The 17,681-nt window shown below is 43.1% G+C and overlaps 1 long non-coding RNA gene across 4 annotated transcripts in view; it reads left to right on the forward strand.

The window, feature by feature from the left end:
• The window catches only part of LOC107985960 (uncharacterized), a 119,748-nt gene that overhangs the window by 30,657 nt on the left and 71,410 nt on the right, over positions 1–17,681 (forward strand). For 2 of the 4 annotated variants that reach the window (XR_001739773.3, XR_001739775.3), the window contains one exon: positions 17,115–17,261. This is a non-coding gene — a long non-coding RNA (uncharacterized LOC107985960). Of the gene's footprint in view, positions 1–13,496; positions 17,262–17,681 lie in introns of those variants that run through there. The other 2 variants (XR_001739776.2, XR_007087297.1) reach the window with 2 other exon arrangements.

Raw genomic sequence — 17,681 nt, forward strand, 5'->3', positions numbered from 1 at the left:
AAATTTTACAAAAATATATGGCCACGTGAACACACTGCTGGCCCCTCTCCAAGAACATTGGAAGGGCCCATGCAAATGAAGGGCCCTGAGGCTGAAACTCTCTTAGCTTCCCAGTAAATACACCCTGGATGGCATCTTTCAATTAATCGGCAGTAGGTTTGCTTTCCTGCTGGGCGTGTTACAGTTGGTGGCAACTTAGATTTGGTATCATATATGTAAAGCACCCCATATGGTGCCTGGCACACACTGGAGGCTCACTAAGTGTTCCTTCCTCCCTTCCCTTAGTGAAAAATCAGCAAACAGAGCTCCATCCCTGGCAGGGGACTATGTCCTTCAAGTGTGTTATTGAAGAATCAGCCTTGTAGAAGTTGATATTCCATTAGTTTGCCTATAAAATTTTTAAATTGCAGTTTTTGAATTTATGGATCTTAGTTCAAGGTCAATAAAAAGTGATTGATGGGTAACCAGCGTGTGCCCAGGGACAGAAGATGTCCTCCTGTTGCTTTGTCAGTGGTCGATGATAATGTACTCGTTTCCAGCCAACCCCTAAAAAGGCAAACCCATCGCTAAGAAACAGAAGAAAAAAGAACAAAATGGACTACACTGTATTAAAGACACCTGAGTTCTGTAGAGGAGAGTTTTCCCAGAATCAGCCCAACACTGCCCTATCACCTACCTGAAGGGCATGTGCCAGACAGTCTGAGCTCATCAGATTCAGGACATGAGGAAAGTTATCTTGGTTTTCCTTTCTACTCTCCCTTCTTCCCTTCACTCTTTCCTTTCCTCCATCTTGTCCACATTTTCTAGACTGCTTACTGTCACTTTCTGAAACAAGAAAAAGATTCCACTTTTCATTGCTTATTAATGCTAAATGACTACCCATTCCCTCGAAGCTATTAATATATATATAAAGAAGTAGGGCATGGAGTGCTGAAATGCAACTGTGTGTCACTTAACAATGTAGATATGTTCTATGAAGTGCATTGTCAGGCGATTTCTTTGTGCAAACATCATAGAGTGTACTTGCATAGCTCTAGATGGTACTGCCTACTATACACCTGGGCTGTGTGGTATAGCCTATTGCTCCTAGGCTATAAAACTGTACAGCATGTTACTGTACTGAATATACCATAGGCAGTTGTAACACAATGATCAGTATTTGTGTATCTAAACATAGAGAAGGTTATGGTATAAAAGATAAAAAATGATATACTTGTAAGGACACTTACCATAAGTGGAGCTTACAGGACTGGAAGTTGCTCTGGGTGAGTCAGTGAGTAAGTGGTGAGTGATTGTGAGGGCCTGGGACATTACTGTACATTACTGTAGACTTTATAAACACAGCACACTCAGGCTACACTAAATTCATTTTACTTTTTTTGAGACAGTCTCACTCTGTCATTCAGGCTGGAGTGCAGTGGCATGATCTTCGCTCACTGCAACCTCTGCCTCCTGGGTTCAAGTGATTCTCCTGCCTCAGCCTCCCTAGTAGCTGGGCTTACAGTTGCCCACCACCATGCCTGGCTAATTTTTGTATTTTTAGTAGAAATGAGCTTTCACCATGTTGGCCAGGCTGGTCTCAAACTCTTGACCTCAAGTGATCCGCCTGCCTTGGCCTCCCAAAGTGCTGGGATTAGAGGCGTGAGCCACTGTGCCTGGCTTAAATTTATTTTAAAACTCTTCTTTCTTCAATAATAAATTAACCTTAGCTTACTGTAACTTTTTCACTTTATAAGCTTTTTAATGTTTTTAACTTCTTTTGGAATAACACTTAGCTTTAAACACAAAGGCATTATACAGCTATGCAAAAATATTTTCTTTATATCCTTATTCTATACATTTTTTTCATTAAATTTTATTATTATTATTTTTACTTTTAAACTTTTTTGTTAAAAACTAAGACAACTACACACACATTAGCCCGGGCTTAATCATCGGGGTCAGGATCATCAATATGTCATCAGGGGATAGGAATTTTCCAGCTCTATTCTAATCCTATGGCATCACCATCATACATGCAGTCTGTTGTTGCCTGATGTCACTGTGTGGCACATGACTGCAGGGGGTGTGGGAAGCCCATTTCTGAGTCAGTTAGAAGGCATATATATTTTCTTCCTTTGCCGTCACTTTACGTTTGTAATTCTGAGGCTCTCTACACGGTTCACTTGGGACTGTATGTTAAGGCTGCTGTTAACTATAAAACAGGTTAAACTGTATTTCAGAGTAGGCATAATTAATGAGGGTGTTATTTCAGGAACAATGATAGGGATTGTGAATAGTCAAGATTCATTCTAGAATGAGCAAGAAATTTGCTGGAAAAAAGAGGTGTAATGAAAAAGGAAGCTTCTTTCTATTTCTGATGAGGAGCTTGGTATGTCTGTAGTTTGATTTTGTAACAATTGTTTTCCCTGAAGTAATTTGGATGCTGCATTAGTCTGATTATTATGATTTCCTGTTTAGAACCCAGATACCTTCTCGATATGTCCCCAATAGCATATTTCTGGAAATGACTTCAACCAATTACATTAGCTCTCATTCCCTTGGTTTCTATGTGGTTGACCAGACAGGAATCAGGCTGCCTGAGTGTGCAATCCAGATAGCAAGAGGCAGTCGGTAGAGAGAGTGTGAAATTGCCCTGAGATACTGTGTGGTCTGCAGGCGGGTCCAAGTGAAGGAATGTGATGCAGCTGAGGCCTCGGGGGTGGGGCCGGGGGGCATATTTTTGATGTCTGAAATATCTTGACCAACTGGCCTTTCAGGGATAATTTTGATGACCATGTTTCATCTGGTGCCGAGTCTACTTCTGGTGCTTGACTCATGAAGGTATCAGTGATGACAAGGATAATGAAATTTATCTTCAAACCTACTCCCCTTAAATGTAGTAGATGTAAGCACTGGGACAAATCTGAAAAGAGTCTTCAGCATCTCCTTAAGGTTACTACTATTATGGATAATAGTGCTGTATCATTTACAAAACCATAGCCATATTGTGCAGCAGGTATTATTATTCCTGTTTTACAGATGTGTAAACTGAGGCACAGAGAGGTTCAGGGATATACTAATGTTGCCTACCGAGTGAGCAGTGGAGGTGGGATTTGACCCCAGTTGCCTGAATCCAAATCATCCCGTTCCCATCTTCTCCCCTAATGATGTCATGCCCCATGCTGCATCGGTGGAGGGGTTTTATGGGAGAGTGACAGGAGCCTTCAGCTCCTTCTGTGGTACCCCTTGCACTCTGTGAATCCACCAAGGGAGGAGAACACTCCAAGACTGCCCCAAAGGGGTATGTGCCCTCGCCTGCGCAGATGCTGGCTGTCAGAGGACTGAGGAATTTCCCCAGGGGGAGATTTTCCCAACCACTACATTAACCTGTTCAAAGATCCTGTCCAGCTCTGCAAGATTAGCTGAGATCTGAGGCATTTAGCATGGAAAGAACACATTCTTCTAAAGAGTCATTTCAGCCATTCTACCTATGCACATCTGAGTTTAAAAAAGGAGAGAAAGAGGGCAAACCTACTTCAAAGTGGCCTATTTGGCAGTTGACCATTGGAAGGCTAATGATAATGACAAAAACTGAAAACAGGAGGCACTCTCTTATGGTGTCTTGTCCTCTAGATATGCATAAGATATGCAAAGGCACTGTGGAACTCGATGAAACACTCAGCCTGCAAGAGTGCAGTGGGGAACAAAATACTCAGAAAGTAGAGACTGTTTTATTTATGGGATGGGGTCTCACTTTGTTCCCCAGGCTGGAGTGCAGCGGTGCAATCATAGCTCACTGTAGCCTTGAACTCCTGGGCTCAAGTGATTCTCCTACACCAGCCTCCTGAGTAGCTAGGACTACAGTGCATACCACCATGGCCACTAATTTTTTAATAAATATTTTGTAGAGACAGGGTCCTGCTCTATTGTCTAGACTGGCTTCAAACTCCTGGCCTCAAGCGATCCTCCTGCCTCAGCTTGGTTGCTGAGGCAACAGGGGCACGACACTGGTCTTGGCCAACATTTTAAACTTTATTTGGCAAAACCAATTCTTTTGCTACTTCCCTACTGCACTCAGGATGGGGACACAGGAGCTGGGAGAAATTTCACCAAGAAAGAAGTGGTTATGTACAGCACAGACAATAGGCTGGCAGGTTTCATTTCCCCCCAGTCCTATAAAAGAAAGCATGTAACTTGAAACCAGTTTAATGAAGTAACTCCAGGATTCCAGTAGCTGGTTACTCTGGGCCAGAAAGCCTGGAACCACCAAGATTCCTAAGGATGTGGTGGACAGGGGCTGGGCACCCACGAGGCTGCAGCAGCTGTCAGCCATTATCCCTAAAATAATGCTCTTCCAGGCCTGGGAGCACAGAGGCCTTTGAGAAGGTCAGTGAGTGCGGCTGCCAGTCACAGCTTCAGTGGCTTTGCACAGCTGGGCTCCATTCTGGAATCTGGAATCCTCAGTGCAAACTGTCAGGGCTACGTGTCTGTGCTGGGCCTGCTGAGAGGCAAAATGAGTCCTTTGGGATTTGAAATCTAGCAGTTTTGGATTAGGTGAGACTAAGAGTTCTCTGGATTTAGCTGAGTCCAAGGTGCTTATTTGTGGGCAAGAAGTTCTCCCTTCCAGTGAATGAAACCTGTGCAGTGCCCCTATCCTGCTCTTCCACAGGGGCACAAAAGGCTGCTGGCACAACATGCTGTTGGTGTGGGTGAGGTCGGGTAGTTTGGAGTCAGATCAGCCTGGTTTCAAATCCTGCTGTCCCTCCACTTCTGTGATCTCTGCAAATTACTTGTTTTGCACTATTGTTTCTTTCCTTCCTTCCTTTTGATCTCCGCAAATCACTTAACTTTTTTTTGAACTACTGTTTGGTTTAGTTTCCTTCCTTCCTTCCTTGCTCTCTCTCTCTCATTCTCTCGCTCTCGCTCTGTCTCTCTCTCTCTCGTCTCACTCTTCACCCAGGCTGGAGCGCAGTGGCATGATCTTGGTTCACTGCAACCTCCTCCTCCCAGGTTCAAGCGATTCTTATGCCTCAGCTGCCCCTCCAACACAACGGCTGGTTAATTTTTGTATTTCAGTAGAGACGGGGTTTGACCATGTTGGCCAGGCTGGTCTGGAAATCCCAACCTCAAGTGATCTGCCCGCCTCAGCCTCCCAAAGTGCTGGAATTACAGGCGTGAGCGACCGCACCCGGCTGATCAGGTTTATATTCTGTAAATGGGATGCCTTCTAATTATTTCTTGTAAACTGTGGAATGACTGAACTGATCTTAACATTTCAGTTAACCAACGCAACAAGTAATGCAGCTGTGTGATTTTGAGACAAGTTACTTAGCCCCTCTGTGCCTCAGTTTCCTTATCTGTTCATAAAACAAGTATATTAGACTAGAGATTATTTTCATTCCTAAATTTTGTGATGTTATAGGGCTGTTCCTGAGTGAAATTTCACAGAGGAAAGGATGTACCTCTCAATGGCTGCCATAGCTCATATTGTGGCTTTTATGTTTGAAAAGAGACTTTCATTTTGGAAGGTGGGCGTGGTGGTTGTGATGTCCTGCAGTTTGAAGGAACAAGGCTAACAATCAGAGGGCCTGAATTAGGTACTGGCTCCACTATTTAGTGGCCGGAAAACCTTACAGGCAGAATCATTCCCTGGAAATAAAGCTCCCCTGGATACTATCTGTTCTGTATGAGCATCTGTTCCTCTCCCATGAAATGGACATAACTGTCAGTACCTTATCTGTTGACTTCCCAAGGTGGAGTGAGAATCACATTAAATCATTTACTCAGTCAGCTTGCACTATGCAGAAGATTTTTGGCATTTTGGTGGTATAAACCATAGGTGTGCATATAGCTCAAAAGATTCTATGCTGTGATTCTAATGAACTCTCAAACTCTTTAGATCCCAATTTTACACTGGAGCAGTGACCGTGCTTCTTGGCTGATCTCTTGGCTCTCCCTCTCCTCCATGTCCTTCCTCTACCTTCTAAAGGACGAACTGTTCATGGCTTAATAGCAACCACAGTCTACAATTTATATTCCAGAACTTTTCTCGCTTGCTAAGAAATAACTTCCATTGTTTCTATAACAAGGGAAGTAAGCAAATGACTTGAGGGGCACAGAGGTGAGTTCTGAGTTAAGTATAGGCCTGCCAGGAGTTGGCTTTCCATGAGCAAAACCCAAATTTTCATTCAGATAGAGTATTAGCTCAGAAATCAGAACACCTACTGATCCTCAGTAGGCAACATGAATTAGGCATAAATAAATAAATAAATAGGCTGATTTATTGTTCCTTGACAATGTGGTTTAATTTTTAAATCAAAAGGAAATAATGACTATTTCAAACTAAATGTATGGACTCTTCCTGTTTTTTCCCTCTGATATAAAATTCCATAGGTCTTACTCATTCTTTTTTTTTGTTTAATTTAGCATCCAACCTTTATTTTTATTTTTTTGCTTTAGAACCTTTTTTTTCATGTATACTTTAAGTTTTAGGGTACATGTATACAGGTCTTACTCATTCTTATTGGTGATCCAATTTGAAGTACCAATAGATTAAATGATTTTCCTAAACTGGTGAGTGTCTCTCACAAAATCCATCAGAGCTGGGGCCTGATCCCTGGGCTCTGTTCCTAATGACCATCCTACATGTCTCTATAAATAGACCATTATCAAATGGTTTTTACCGAGCTTGGATTGGATGACAATCATGACTCTCAATTTTCCTTCCTTCCCTCTCATCTGATTTTAAATTATCTCTGACAGTCAGGATGTGATAAATCTACTGTGTTCAGAGTTCGGAGTTCTGAACACAATTTTCCAACATAAGGAAGGCTAGAAATACATATTTGAGACAAAACATGGAAATCCTACCAACTGCTGGTGAATTCCCTTTGAGTTTCTCTCTTCCCTTTCAGGAAATGTTCCTTGGGTCTCCTGTCCTTGTTAGCACCAGCTTCTCCGGTCTGGTTCCAAATCATCACCTTGGCAACATCACTTCCCACGGTCCACAAAGCTTTGGACAGCCAGTCTCTATTTTGCCTTTATCGCCTATATGTTGGCCAGTAGGGTAGAGAAGTCCATGACCTTGCTCATCCCAGCTTTGTTTTGTCCAAACTCTTTTGTGCAAAGAGGAAAACCAGGATTTTAAATCATGCACTGGGCTGTGCTGACACGGTGCCCAGCAAAATAAATCACAACCCCTTTATTTTAGAGCAGCTGGAAATGGACACTTTTAATGGACAGGGGAGTCTGGCCAAAACAGGACTGGGATGAGACAGGATCATCATTTTAGAATGCTGATTTTGCAGGGAGAATGTCACTTCTCTGTTTTTATACATCCTGAGTTTTCTTCCCTTATAGGCAGCTGCTGAGCTGAAGGTGTTTCTGCAGCAAGCGTCCCACTCTCATCTGCATGCTGACTACACAGACTGGGCAAAGTCTGTATCTTTCCAGTCTGTGTGCACACAGGCTAATTTGTCATTAGCTCTGCAAAAGTCATGAGAGGAGGTTTAATTTAATAAATTAAAATATAATCCCCAAACACAAGTTTATAACCAACACTTTCATGTGCATTGAGCAAGGCTTTTTCACTTAGTTGTAAAGGGGAAAAGAACTAACACTTACACTGAGGGCCCACTAAGTCTCACAACATTGTGAGACAGGTACTATTTTGTCCCAACACCTAGCTCCTCTGGGCATTGTGCCAAATGGTGGTGGTGACGATGGGTGTTGATACTGGCAAGCAGCAGGAAAGGGGTTTCAGAGACTGCTTGCCACTGAGTCATCCTGGGAGTCATCTCTGGATAAATGGGTATGACCAACAGCACTGTGATGGTCAAGGGTACCAGCATGACACCTGTATAACTCCATCAAATTATGTTGGACTCAATTTTGTGCCTACCTTGAGGGATAATGTTGATTCAATCACTCATATCTTGCAGTTACACTATGATTTTTTTTTTTTTTTTGAGACAGAATCTTGCTCTGTTGCCAGGCTGGAGTGCAGTGGCGCGATCACGGCTCAGTGCAACCTCCACCTCCTGGGTTCAAGGGATTCCCCTGCCTCAGCCTCCCGAGTAGCTGGGACTACAGGCGCACGCCAACATGCCTGGCTAATTTTTTGTGTTTTAGTAGAGATGGGGTTTCACCACGTTGGCCAGGATGGTCTCAATCTCCTGACCTGGTGATCCGCCCACCTCGGCCTCCTAAAGTGCTGAGATTACAGGTGTGAGCCATCACACCCGGCCAACACCATGATTTTTAAAATAAGACCAAGTTTCGATGTCTCTGAGGGTATCAGATGCATCAAAGGGGCTTGGACACTTGAGTATGGATGCACCCATGAAACCTGACTGTCCATTTTGTCTGGCTGATAACAGCTTAGGGGTGGGAGAAAAAAATCATCCTCTGCAGGAAAGATCTACACCCAAGAGGCAGCAAGGTATAGCAGTTATAAGCACAGATTTGGGGTATAGAATTTGGATTCAGATTGAGATTTATCATCCAAATTCTCTTACTTATTTCATGTGTGACATTAGGTGAGTTATTTAACCTCTTGATGCCTCACTTTCTTCAGCTATGAAATGGAGATGATATATATAGTGCTTATCTTCCATAGGAGTTACAAATATTAAATGAATTAATATATATAAAGCATTTAAAGCAGTGCCTGGGCAGCCAGTCTCTATTTTTCCTTTATTGGCTATATGTTAGCCAATAGGGTACAGAAGTCCATGACCCTACTCATTACAGCTTTGTTTTGTCCAAACTCTTATGCAAAGAGGATAACCAGGAGTTTAAATTATGTGCTGGGTTGTGCTGGCATAGTACCCAGCAAAATAAATCACAACTCCTTTATTTTAGAGCAGCTGGAAATGGACACCTTTAATGGACTGGGGAGTCCATTTAGCAATGTCAATATGTATTTGCTATTATTGTTGTTGTGACACTGGTATCAGTTTACTGGGGCTCCCATAACAAAGTACCACAGACTAGGTGGCTTAAATAATATAAATTTGTTTTTGCACAGTTTTGAAGACCAGGCATCCAAGATCAACGTGTCAATAGGGTTGGTTCCTTTAAAGGTCCACAAGAGAAGGATGTGTTCCAGGCCTTTCTCCTTGGCTTGAAGATGACCATCTTTCCCTGTCTTTTCATATCATCTTTCTTCTGCATGCCATCGGTGTCCAAATTTCCTCTTCTTATAAGGACACCAGTCATATTGGATTTGGGCTCACTCTTGAAGACCCTATCTTCAAAAAGGTCACATTTTGAGGTACTAAGGTTTAAGACCCCAATGTATGAATCTTTGGGGGACATAATTCTGCCTGTAATAGTGCCTAAGCAAGGCTTTTGGTGAAACTCACTTTCAGAGTAGATTTTGTTCTTACAGTGTTGCCTGTTTTTTCCTTTTTTGAGTAATCATTGTAAATTTTCTGCCTTTCTCATATTATCTCCTACTTTTAAACTATTTTAAAAAATCTAAATAAGTATCTTGGTCAAAGTTCTATAGATGCTGAGCTGGGTGTGGTTTTGGCATCTGTAGTCCCAGTTACTTGGGAGGCTGAGGTGGGAGGATCTCTTGAGCCCAGGAGTCCAAGAACAGCCTGGGCAACATAGTGAGAGCTTATCTCTTAAAAAGAAAACAAACATTCTATGGATGCTGAATAGAATGGATTCAATGGTATCTTCCCCAAAGGAAAAAATCCATGAAATGGATTTTTTTTTTTTTACCATTCAAATGGTAACCTAATACCTAAATTTAGGAGCAGTGTCATTTTAATACATTTAAACTTTTTTTGTTGGATCCAGCTTTATTATGTTATTATTGATAACAACCATAAGTAATCACTTTTTCAATGGATTTCTTAACTAATTCAGTTAAAAAATGCTATGTCACTCCAGTCACTAAATGTTGGTGGCCTGCATGATTCATTACCTGTGTTTGTGAGCAGGGACTGGTCAGGTCTGGCGAGTACTAGGAGAATTCACTTGGGGTTTGACTGGTCCACAGATTAGCCACTCAGGCTGTGTGTGTTAGGTAAGAGTTTTTGAGTGGCAAATATCAGAAATCAACTTCAGTTAGCTTAAGCAGAAAAAGGACTATATTGGGAGGATACTGGGAAATCTCACTGAATCCCAGGAATCACTAAAGTCCCAGGCCCCCAGGAGGCTGAGGACCAGGGTAGGAGTTTTGGGCGTTTATCGGGTCTCTTCCATTTGTCCCTCCAGCTCCACTCTCTTTCTTTCTCTCCTGCTCGGTGCTCCTATGGACTGTATTGATGGACGTTATGAACTGTAGCAATAGGCTCCTATGCGCTTTGACTTCTGGTTGTGTTTGGGCAGTGATGTATTTTGTCAGGAGATCAGAGGAAGAAAGGGGAGTGAGGCCAACAGTTCATCTCCTACCTTGGCTCCTACCTTGGGTAATGCCTTGGGCTAGTCAAGTCCCTTGGCCAGTAGTCACAGGTTGTCTGCAGATGGCCTTCTGGGCATGACTTTCTCCTTCCAAGCTCTAGTAACCACTCCTGTGTTTTATCCCTTTGGCCCTAGATGTGGTAACAGCTCTGCTTTTCCCACCCCCAGGGTACTGTACTATCCCTTGAGGTTTCTCTACACCTTGACTAGTTCTATGCTGGGCTATGTTGGAGCTTGAAGCAAAAGGAAGTATCAGTGATATGGTTTGGATCAGTGTCCCCACCCAAATCTCATGTTCAATTGTAATCCCAAGTGTTGGAGGTGGGGCCTGGTGGGAGGTGATTTGGTCATGGGGGCGGAGTTCTCATGAATGGGTTAGCACCGTCCCCTCACTGCCGTTCTCATGACAGTGAGTGGGTGAGTTATGAGATCTGGTTGTTTAAAAGTGTATAGCACCTCCCCTCTCTTTTCCTCCTGCACTCGTCCTGTGAAGTGCGTCGCTCTCCCTTCACCTTCCGCCATGACTGAAAGTTCCCTGAGGCCTCCCAAGAAGTTGAACAGAGGCCAGCCTCATGCTTCCTGTACAGCCCACAGAACTGTGAGCCAATTAAACCTCTTTTCTTTATAAATTATCGTCTCAAGTATTTCTTTATAGCAATGTGAGAATAGACAAGTACAATGAGTAATACTAATCCTTTGTTTAAAATGTTAATATTTTGTTCATCATAGATTTTTTTACAGTAATTTTGACTTTAAAAAATTATTACATTGAAATATTATTTATCTTGATTACTAAAATTTTTGGTGTCCCCTTAAAATTTTTTACCTTGCGGCAATTGCACACTCACTTTACTATAGTCCCAGACTGGCACTGCACTTTTGTAAATCATCCCTTTATAAAACCCTCCTGTCCTGTGAGCTATGATCACACCACTGCACTCCAGGCTTGGCAACAAAGCGAGACCTCACCTCTAAAAAAACTAAACAAAAACGCTCCTCTCTGAGCAAGCAATTTGTTTACTGATAGGACTCTGATAGATATAAATGTCTTCTCTCAAAAGCATAGATTGTAAATCATTGGCCCTTAGGCAATATTTTATCAAGAGACATAATTTATTTGGGCTGTACAGTTTTGAAATTTAGTTGATCACTTTTAAAAGTCAGAGACCTTCATATAAAAATCTAGATTTCTGGTTTCTCTTGAAAAAAGAAAAAATCAGACAACATGGCAACACAGATTCCTTTCCTGCATGGCAACAACTGGCAGGAGCTGAGTAGCAGCTTCTTTGGCCTAAGCATGTCTCTCCAAATGGACATAGTCCCCACCACTCCCTATTACCTCCCCACAACACTGAGACTTACTGTTAGTCAACATTTTTTTTTTAATCACAGTGGTGCTGTTTATTATTATTATTATTATTATTATGCCTGGCGTGCTTGCCTAGCTGACTCCTATAGGCTGCTGAGTTTGAGACACTTGCTCTAGTTCTTTGCTGTTATTAGGACTCCACTCCCAACCTCTGCAACTTCCAGCTCAAGTTCTACCTTCCCAGGATGATGAATCAGATTGGCTCAACTTGAGGCAGATATCCATTTCAGCACCAAGCAACAAACCCAGGGGCCAGGATCTTGTGTGAGCACCTGCTAGGGGCCCACCCTTGATAGTGGAGAGTGGGGATTCCAGAAGAGAGGAACTGTATCTGTAGGACATAGGAGAGGGACCTACCACACTGCAGTGCTGGCTCTTGAACCAAAGTGTAAAAGTGTATTTAATCTTGAATTGTTCAGAGTAAATACCAGATAATGTCCCATTCAGCAGATTCTGCAGATTAAATGCTTCCAAGTGCAAAAATGGTAAAAATGAATGCAATTTAAAATGTATTCTTTCTGTAAGCAACATCTGTAAGAAGGGAGTAGGGATGTATTCACAAGCCACAGTCTGGTCCTCGAAAAGTCCATGTAAGACAGATCTATTGTGGTCTAGTTTGAAGCTGATGGTCTAATATGGCTCTTGCACATCTGCCATACCCAGGCTAAAGATGGTCAGTGTGTGGACCCATGAATCTATCTCTTGCCTGGCTCATTGCGGACATTGCTAATATGCTGCAGAACTCCTTACTACTAAGCTTCAGGATCCTTCTCAACACAGTTTTCCAGGCCACCAGTACTGAGCAGGTGGCACATGAAATGAAACCCATTTGCCACCCCTGCCTGAGAGGCTTCTGGGGTGACTTATCATGGAGCTTCCTTGAGCTACTGGAGCCAGCATTTTATTGCATATGTGAAAATTGGGATGGAGACTGTTTTGCTGAGCAGATTAGAAGCAGCTCCCCCTCAAGTCCTCAAGATAACTCCCCCACTGTGATCTTGTTACAAACCCAAGGGGCCTGCTCTAAATCCTTTCCCCTGAGACGCCTCAATCGGACACAGGATGACTTCTTGTTTAGTTCTAAGGCAGGGAAGCGATCTCTTGGGCCAGAGTTGGGAAGGCATGCGAACAACCACAGGCCTCTGGAGTCAGATGGCCCCTAAGGGGACTTTTCAGAGGGTCCAGAAAGCAGTTATTCCTGAGTCCTGAGCAGGGGCCAGCCAAGGAAACACCATCGGCAAAGGCTGTTTTCTTCATTCCCAGTTCCCCAGGCCTCCATCCATGGCAGCGCAGTGGCTGACTGACCTGGCAGGCTTCCAGACACCAATATTGCAAAACTGGTTATAAAGCCAAGCCTGATCTCTTTATGCCTTCCCTCCTCTCGACTCCCTGCTTCCTGATAGTTTAGTAAATAATCAAATTTAGATGGATTTTGTTTGAATGAGGAACCTCAGAATTAAACGTTTGCTCCCCCTTAGGGCTTTCGTGTGGGAAGATGTCCTATTATTTAGGGGTCGCCTCTTGACTTCATCAATTCCCTCTCATGTCAGCTGCTCCATACCCTCTGCTTTGAGAAAGAGCCTGGAACAGACATGAGGAGACCTGAGCTGCCTCTACCAGGCTGGGTGCCCTGTGCAAGCCCCTGGCCTCTCCAGCACTCAGGCATCTCATCTTTAAAATGGAGGGGTGCAGATTGCTGGTAACTAAGTTCCCTTTCAGCTCTCAAGGTTATTCTAAGCTCTGACCCTCTCCATCACTTAAATGTAAGGATGAACAATACTGAGACTTCTTGTGTGCTTGGAAGGGCACTAGGAGTTTTACATACATTCTTTCACTTAGTTCTTACAGAAAAAAAATGAACCAGTTACTTCACGTTATGCCCATGTATCAGGTAGTATTTGGTGCAGCTGCTTACACAGAATGCCCTGAACAATATTAGCTTAGATAAGATAGAAGGGTTTTTTTTTTCTCCCCAACTGGAGGCTTTTTATTTAAAAAGAAAAAAAAAATAGAGTTTTTCTCCTATGTGAAAAACAAAACGTCTGGAGGTGGGCCCGGCCACTGTTGTTTCGGTGGCTCCACAGTGTCATCAAGACGTCTACCTTTCTCCGTCACCATTCTTGGCATGTAACTTCAAGGTTACTTCTTGGTCCAAGATAGCAGCAGTAGCTGCAGTCATCACATCTCTGTTTCAGGTAGCAGAAAGCAGGAAGGGATAGTAAAAGGGTCATCTTCTTTTGCTCGTAGAAATCTCAATACTTCTGCTTACATTTCATTGGTCAGAACTCACATGTTATGTATTCATATCTAGCTGCAAAGAGAGGCTGGGAAATGCAGTCTTATTGTTTCCCAGTCACAATGTAACACAGGTAAATATTTGAGTTCTGTCATAAGACAAAAAATGAGAGTATAGAGAGTATATATTAGAGTAGATACCACCAGTTTCTTCACATTACCTTTGACCAATGAGGAAGCAGGGTACACAGAGTTTAAAAAACTAGCCCTTTACTTTTATTTATTTTTTATTTCAACAGCTTTTGGGGAACAGGTGGTTTTGGGTAACATGGCTAAGTTCTTTAGTGGTGATTTCTGAGATTTTGGTGCACTCATCACCCAAGCAGTGTACACTGTACCCAATATGTAGTCTTTTAATCACTCACTCCCCTCCCCGCACCCTGAGTCCCTGAAGTCCATTGTATCATTCTTTTGCCTTTGCATCCTCATAGCTTAGCTCCCACTTAGAAATGAGAACATATGATATTTGGTTTTCCATTCCTCAGTTACTTCACTTAGAATAATAGTCTCCAGCTCCATCCAGGTTGCAGCAAATGCCATTATTTGGTTCTGTTTTATGGCTGAGTAGTATTCCATGGTGTATGTATACCACATTTTCTTTATCCACTCACTGACAACCAGCCTTTTAGAGATATGCTTGGTGGCTGAGGCAGGTGTGGCCCCGGGCAGCCTGCATCCAGAGCCTGTGCTCTTACATGTTGTGCCATTTGTCCTCCCTGGCGTTCCCTTGCTGCTGCTTTTCCCTTCTTATCAGAAGCTTCATGCAGTCTCCTTGGCTCTAAATTTAGTTCTCCCTCTCTATCAGGAAAGCCTTATTGAGGCTTCATGTTCAACCACCTCCAAAAGGCAGGAAAATTGAGCAGGACTACGAGCCCACAGTGTGACTGACCTTCAGCCAGGGTCCTCCTGTCACCTGCGGAAGGTACAGTACACCTGTGGAGTCTCCTCTGGCCCCCAGGCTCAGTCCTCATTCCAGATATCCTTGGTCCCTCCCCAGTTCCTCATCCCTTAGTTCCCTCCATGGTGTTCCCAAAAACTGCACAGTGCTCTCAATTCTGGTCCTGGCCACATCCTGGAATAAATTGTTGCCTCTCTTCTTGAGGTGTTCTTATTTGAGAAGATGAAGGGATAATTTTTCTGACTAAAATTTTAGGTGGCAGGGTTTCCCCCGCTTTTTGTAAGTTGAGAATGCTTCTCAAATTAAGCCCTTAAAATCACATTACAAAGGACTCCTAGTCAGGTTGGTTTGTCATTAACGCTACTGCCAGGAGCTGTCTCTTCCTGTCAATTCAGTGTGGTCTAAGAGCTAGACACGCAGAATGTGTTAGGGAACTGGCAGCATCTGCATTACCTGGGAGTTACTAGGAATGTAGGATCTCAGCACCCCACACCGGGCTCCCTCCCTCCCACCTCCTCCTGGACCTACTGAACCAGAATCTGCAGTTTAACAGGGTCCCCAGGTGATTTTTATATACATCACAGGCTTGCAAAATACCCAGAAAATCTGGGCGGTTGGATTTCTAATGAGTCATTATGAACTAAAAAAATTCACCTAAGAGTATGCATATTAAATTCATTGTTTGTTTTAGAAGAAACTGAATTGAGAAAAAGAGAGCAAATAAAAATTAGGTACTGAAATTTAAAAATTGCTGTTTATGGTACAGCCTTGGTCCTCATGATCTTTCCAGTGTATTATGCAAATGTCAGCAGTTCATTGACTGATTGATATATTAGGATGCAGAACCAGAAGAGAGTAGATAGAAATTCTCATGCTTACATTTCACCTTAAGATTCCCTTGTAAAATTGCTCAAATCAGTGCACTTAAGTCTCCAAATGGCTTTTGCAAACCAGATAAGCTTGGCATTTGGGGTTCACGTAATTGGCCAGTTTTGCTAGGAGACTTCCAAAAGCACCGTTGTCTAAACAACTATTTTAGTTTAAGGATACAATCTAGATTTAAAAGCCAACATGTGACTCACTTTAAGATTGTTAAAAGCTCAGAGGACAGAGCTGTTGTACTTGCGAACTTGTTATTTTTGTATCCTATCATGGATTTCAGACACCTGAGAGAACAAGAGAGCTATTTATTTCTATGAGCCCAGGCTTAAATTGTGGAGAGCCTCAGAGAATTTCATTTGACACTTTAAAAATACTTCCCCCACCCCAGATCCTTCATGAACTGAGAGGCTCATACGGAGGTTTTATACTTAGGCAGGCAGCAGGATGTAGTGGTTAAAAGCATGGGCTGTAGAATCTGACCATCTGGGTTTAAACCCAACTTTTATCAACTCTGCAAGGTGGGGAAACCGTCTCTAGGGCTGTCGTGATAATTGAGTGAATAAAGATTCACCCAGGTGGTGGCTGCCCTGTCGTAAGCACTGTGTAAGCATTTGCTGTTACTACATCTTCCTACAATACCTAAACGTCTGGCTCCCTCTTTCATTTTGTACATGAGGACATGGAGAAGGAGAGTTTCAAGGTCTGTCTGCTGCCTGGCCTGGCGGGGACCCTTCCTTGCCAGCACCCCCTGTTCTCCCAGGGCAGCTCTGTGCTGAGTCAGCACCCACCCAGCAGCTGTGTGGGAATTCTTTCCCTACCACTCCATTTCACACAAATGTCCTTGGGTCCCCAGGTAGGGCCAATGACAAGAACAGAATCTGAGGTTGATTCAGGTCCTGTTTGAACATTGACATCCCTCCTCCCCCTCTGCTTACCTGGAGCTATTTTCACCTTTTCACCCTGGGCGGGTGGTGTATGGTCTGGGATGTTGCTGGAAACCCAGCTGGTCTGTGACGTCTGAGAGACAAGGACGGCTACCTCAGCTGTCATTAACAGCAGAACACTTCTAATTGACTAGATTCAAAACTACTCCTTCCCCAGGGTTTTGATAATTCCTCCCACCAATTATAGCACTTTACTCAGATTAACTAATTAATCCTCACCATATACCCCAGAGACAAAATTAAAGATAATTCTTTCATAACTGTAAAGCACCTTTTATCTAAGGATTACTAACACTGATGCATTTGTCTCCCATGACAACATCACAAGTTTCAGAGATGACAAGGAAAATCTTCATTACCATTTCAAGAACTGGGAACAAAGAAAAATCCCGTTCCAGGACGCAAAGGAGGAGATGCGGGTAGCTGAACAGAAACTTTTGAAGATTACCATGGGAATACACCTGTGAACTTCCAGGTGGGGCTATGTCTGCATCGGGTCAGTTTTCTTTATGTTGTTTACAATTTCCAGGGATCATGTCCACGATAAAGAACAAGAGCTGGTTCACAGGCTACTGAAACATATGCCTGACTTCCTAAAGAACCTTCTGTTTTCTACTTGCCCACTCGTCTCCATCACGCTGTTGCCCTGTTGTCTCTATTTGCCAAAGTTCTGTTTGTGATCTAGATGAAATGAAGCTGATAGCCAAAAGCTACAGGAAGGAGAGAACCTGAAAAAGACATTATAAACTGAGAATCCTTAAAGAGGAGAGTGGGAGAGGCAGGGTGGAGAATGGGAGAGAGGAAGGGAAAGAAGTCAGTCTGTCAAAGTTCTGGAATCCTCATTTGGGGTAAACGAAGGGAAAAGAGGGGTCTGCGCTCTGTGGCCCAATATTAG

This window comes from Homo sapiens, chromosome 2, assembly GCF_000001405.40.
Source record: "Homo sapiens chromosome 2, GRCh38.p14 Primary Assembly".
In the NCBI taxonomy this organism is placed as follows: domain Eukaryota; kingdom Metazoa; phylum Chordata; class Mammalia; order Primates; family Hominidae; genus Homo; species Homo sapiens.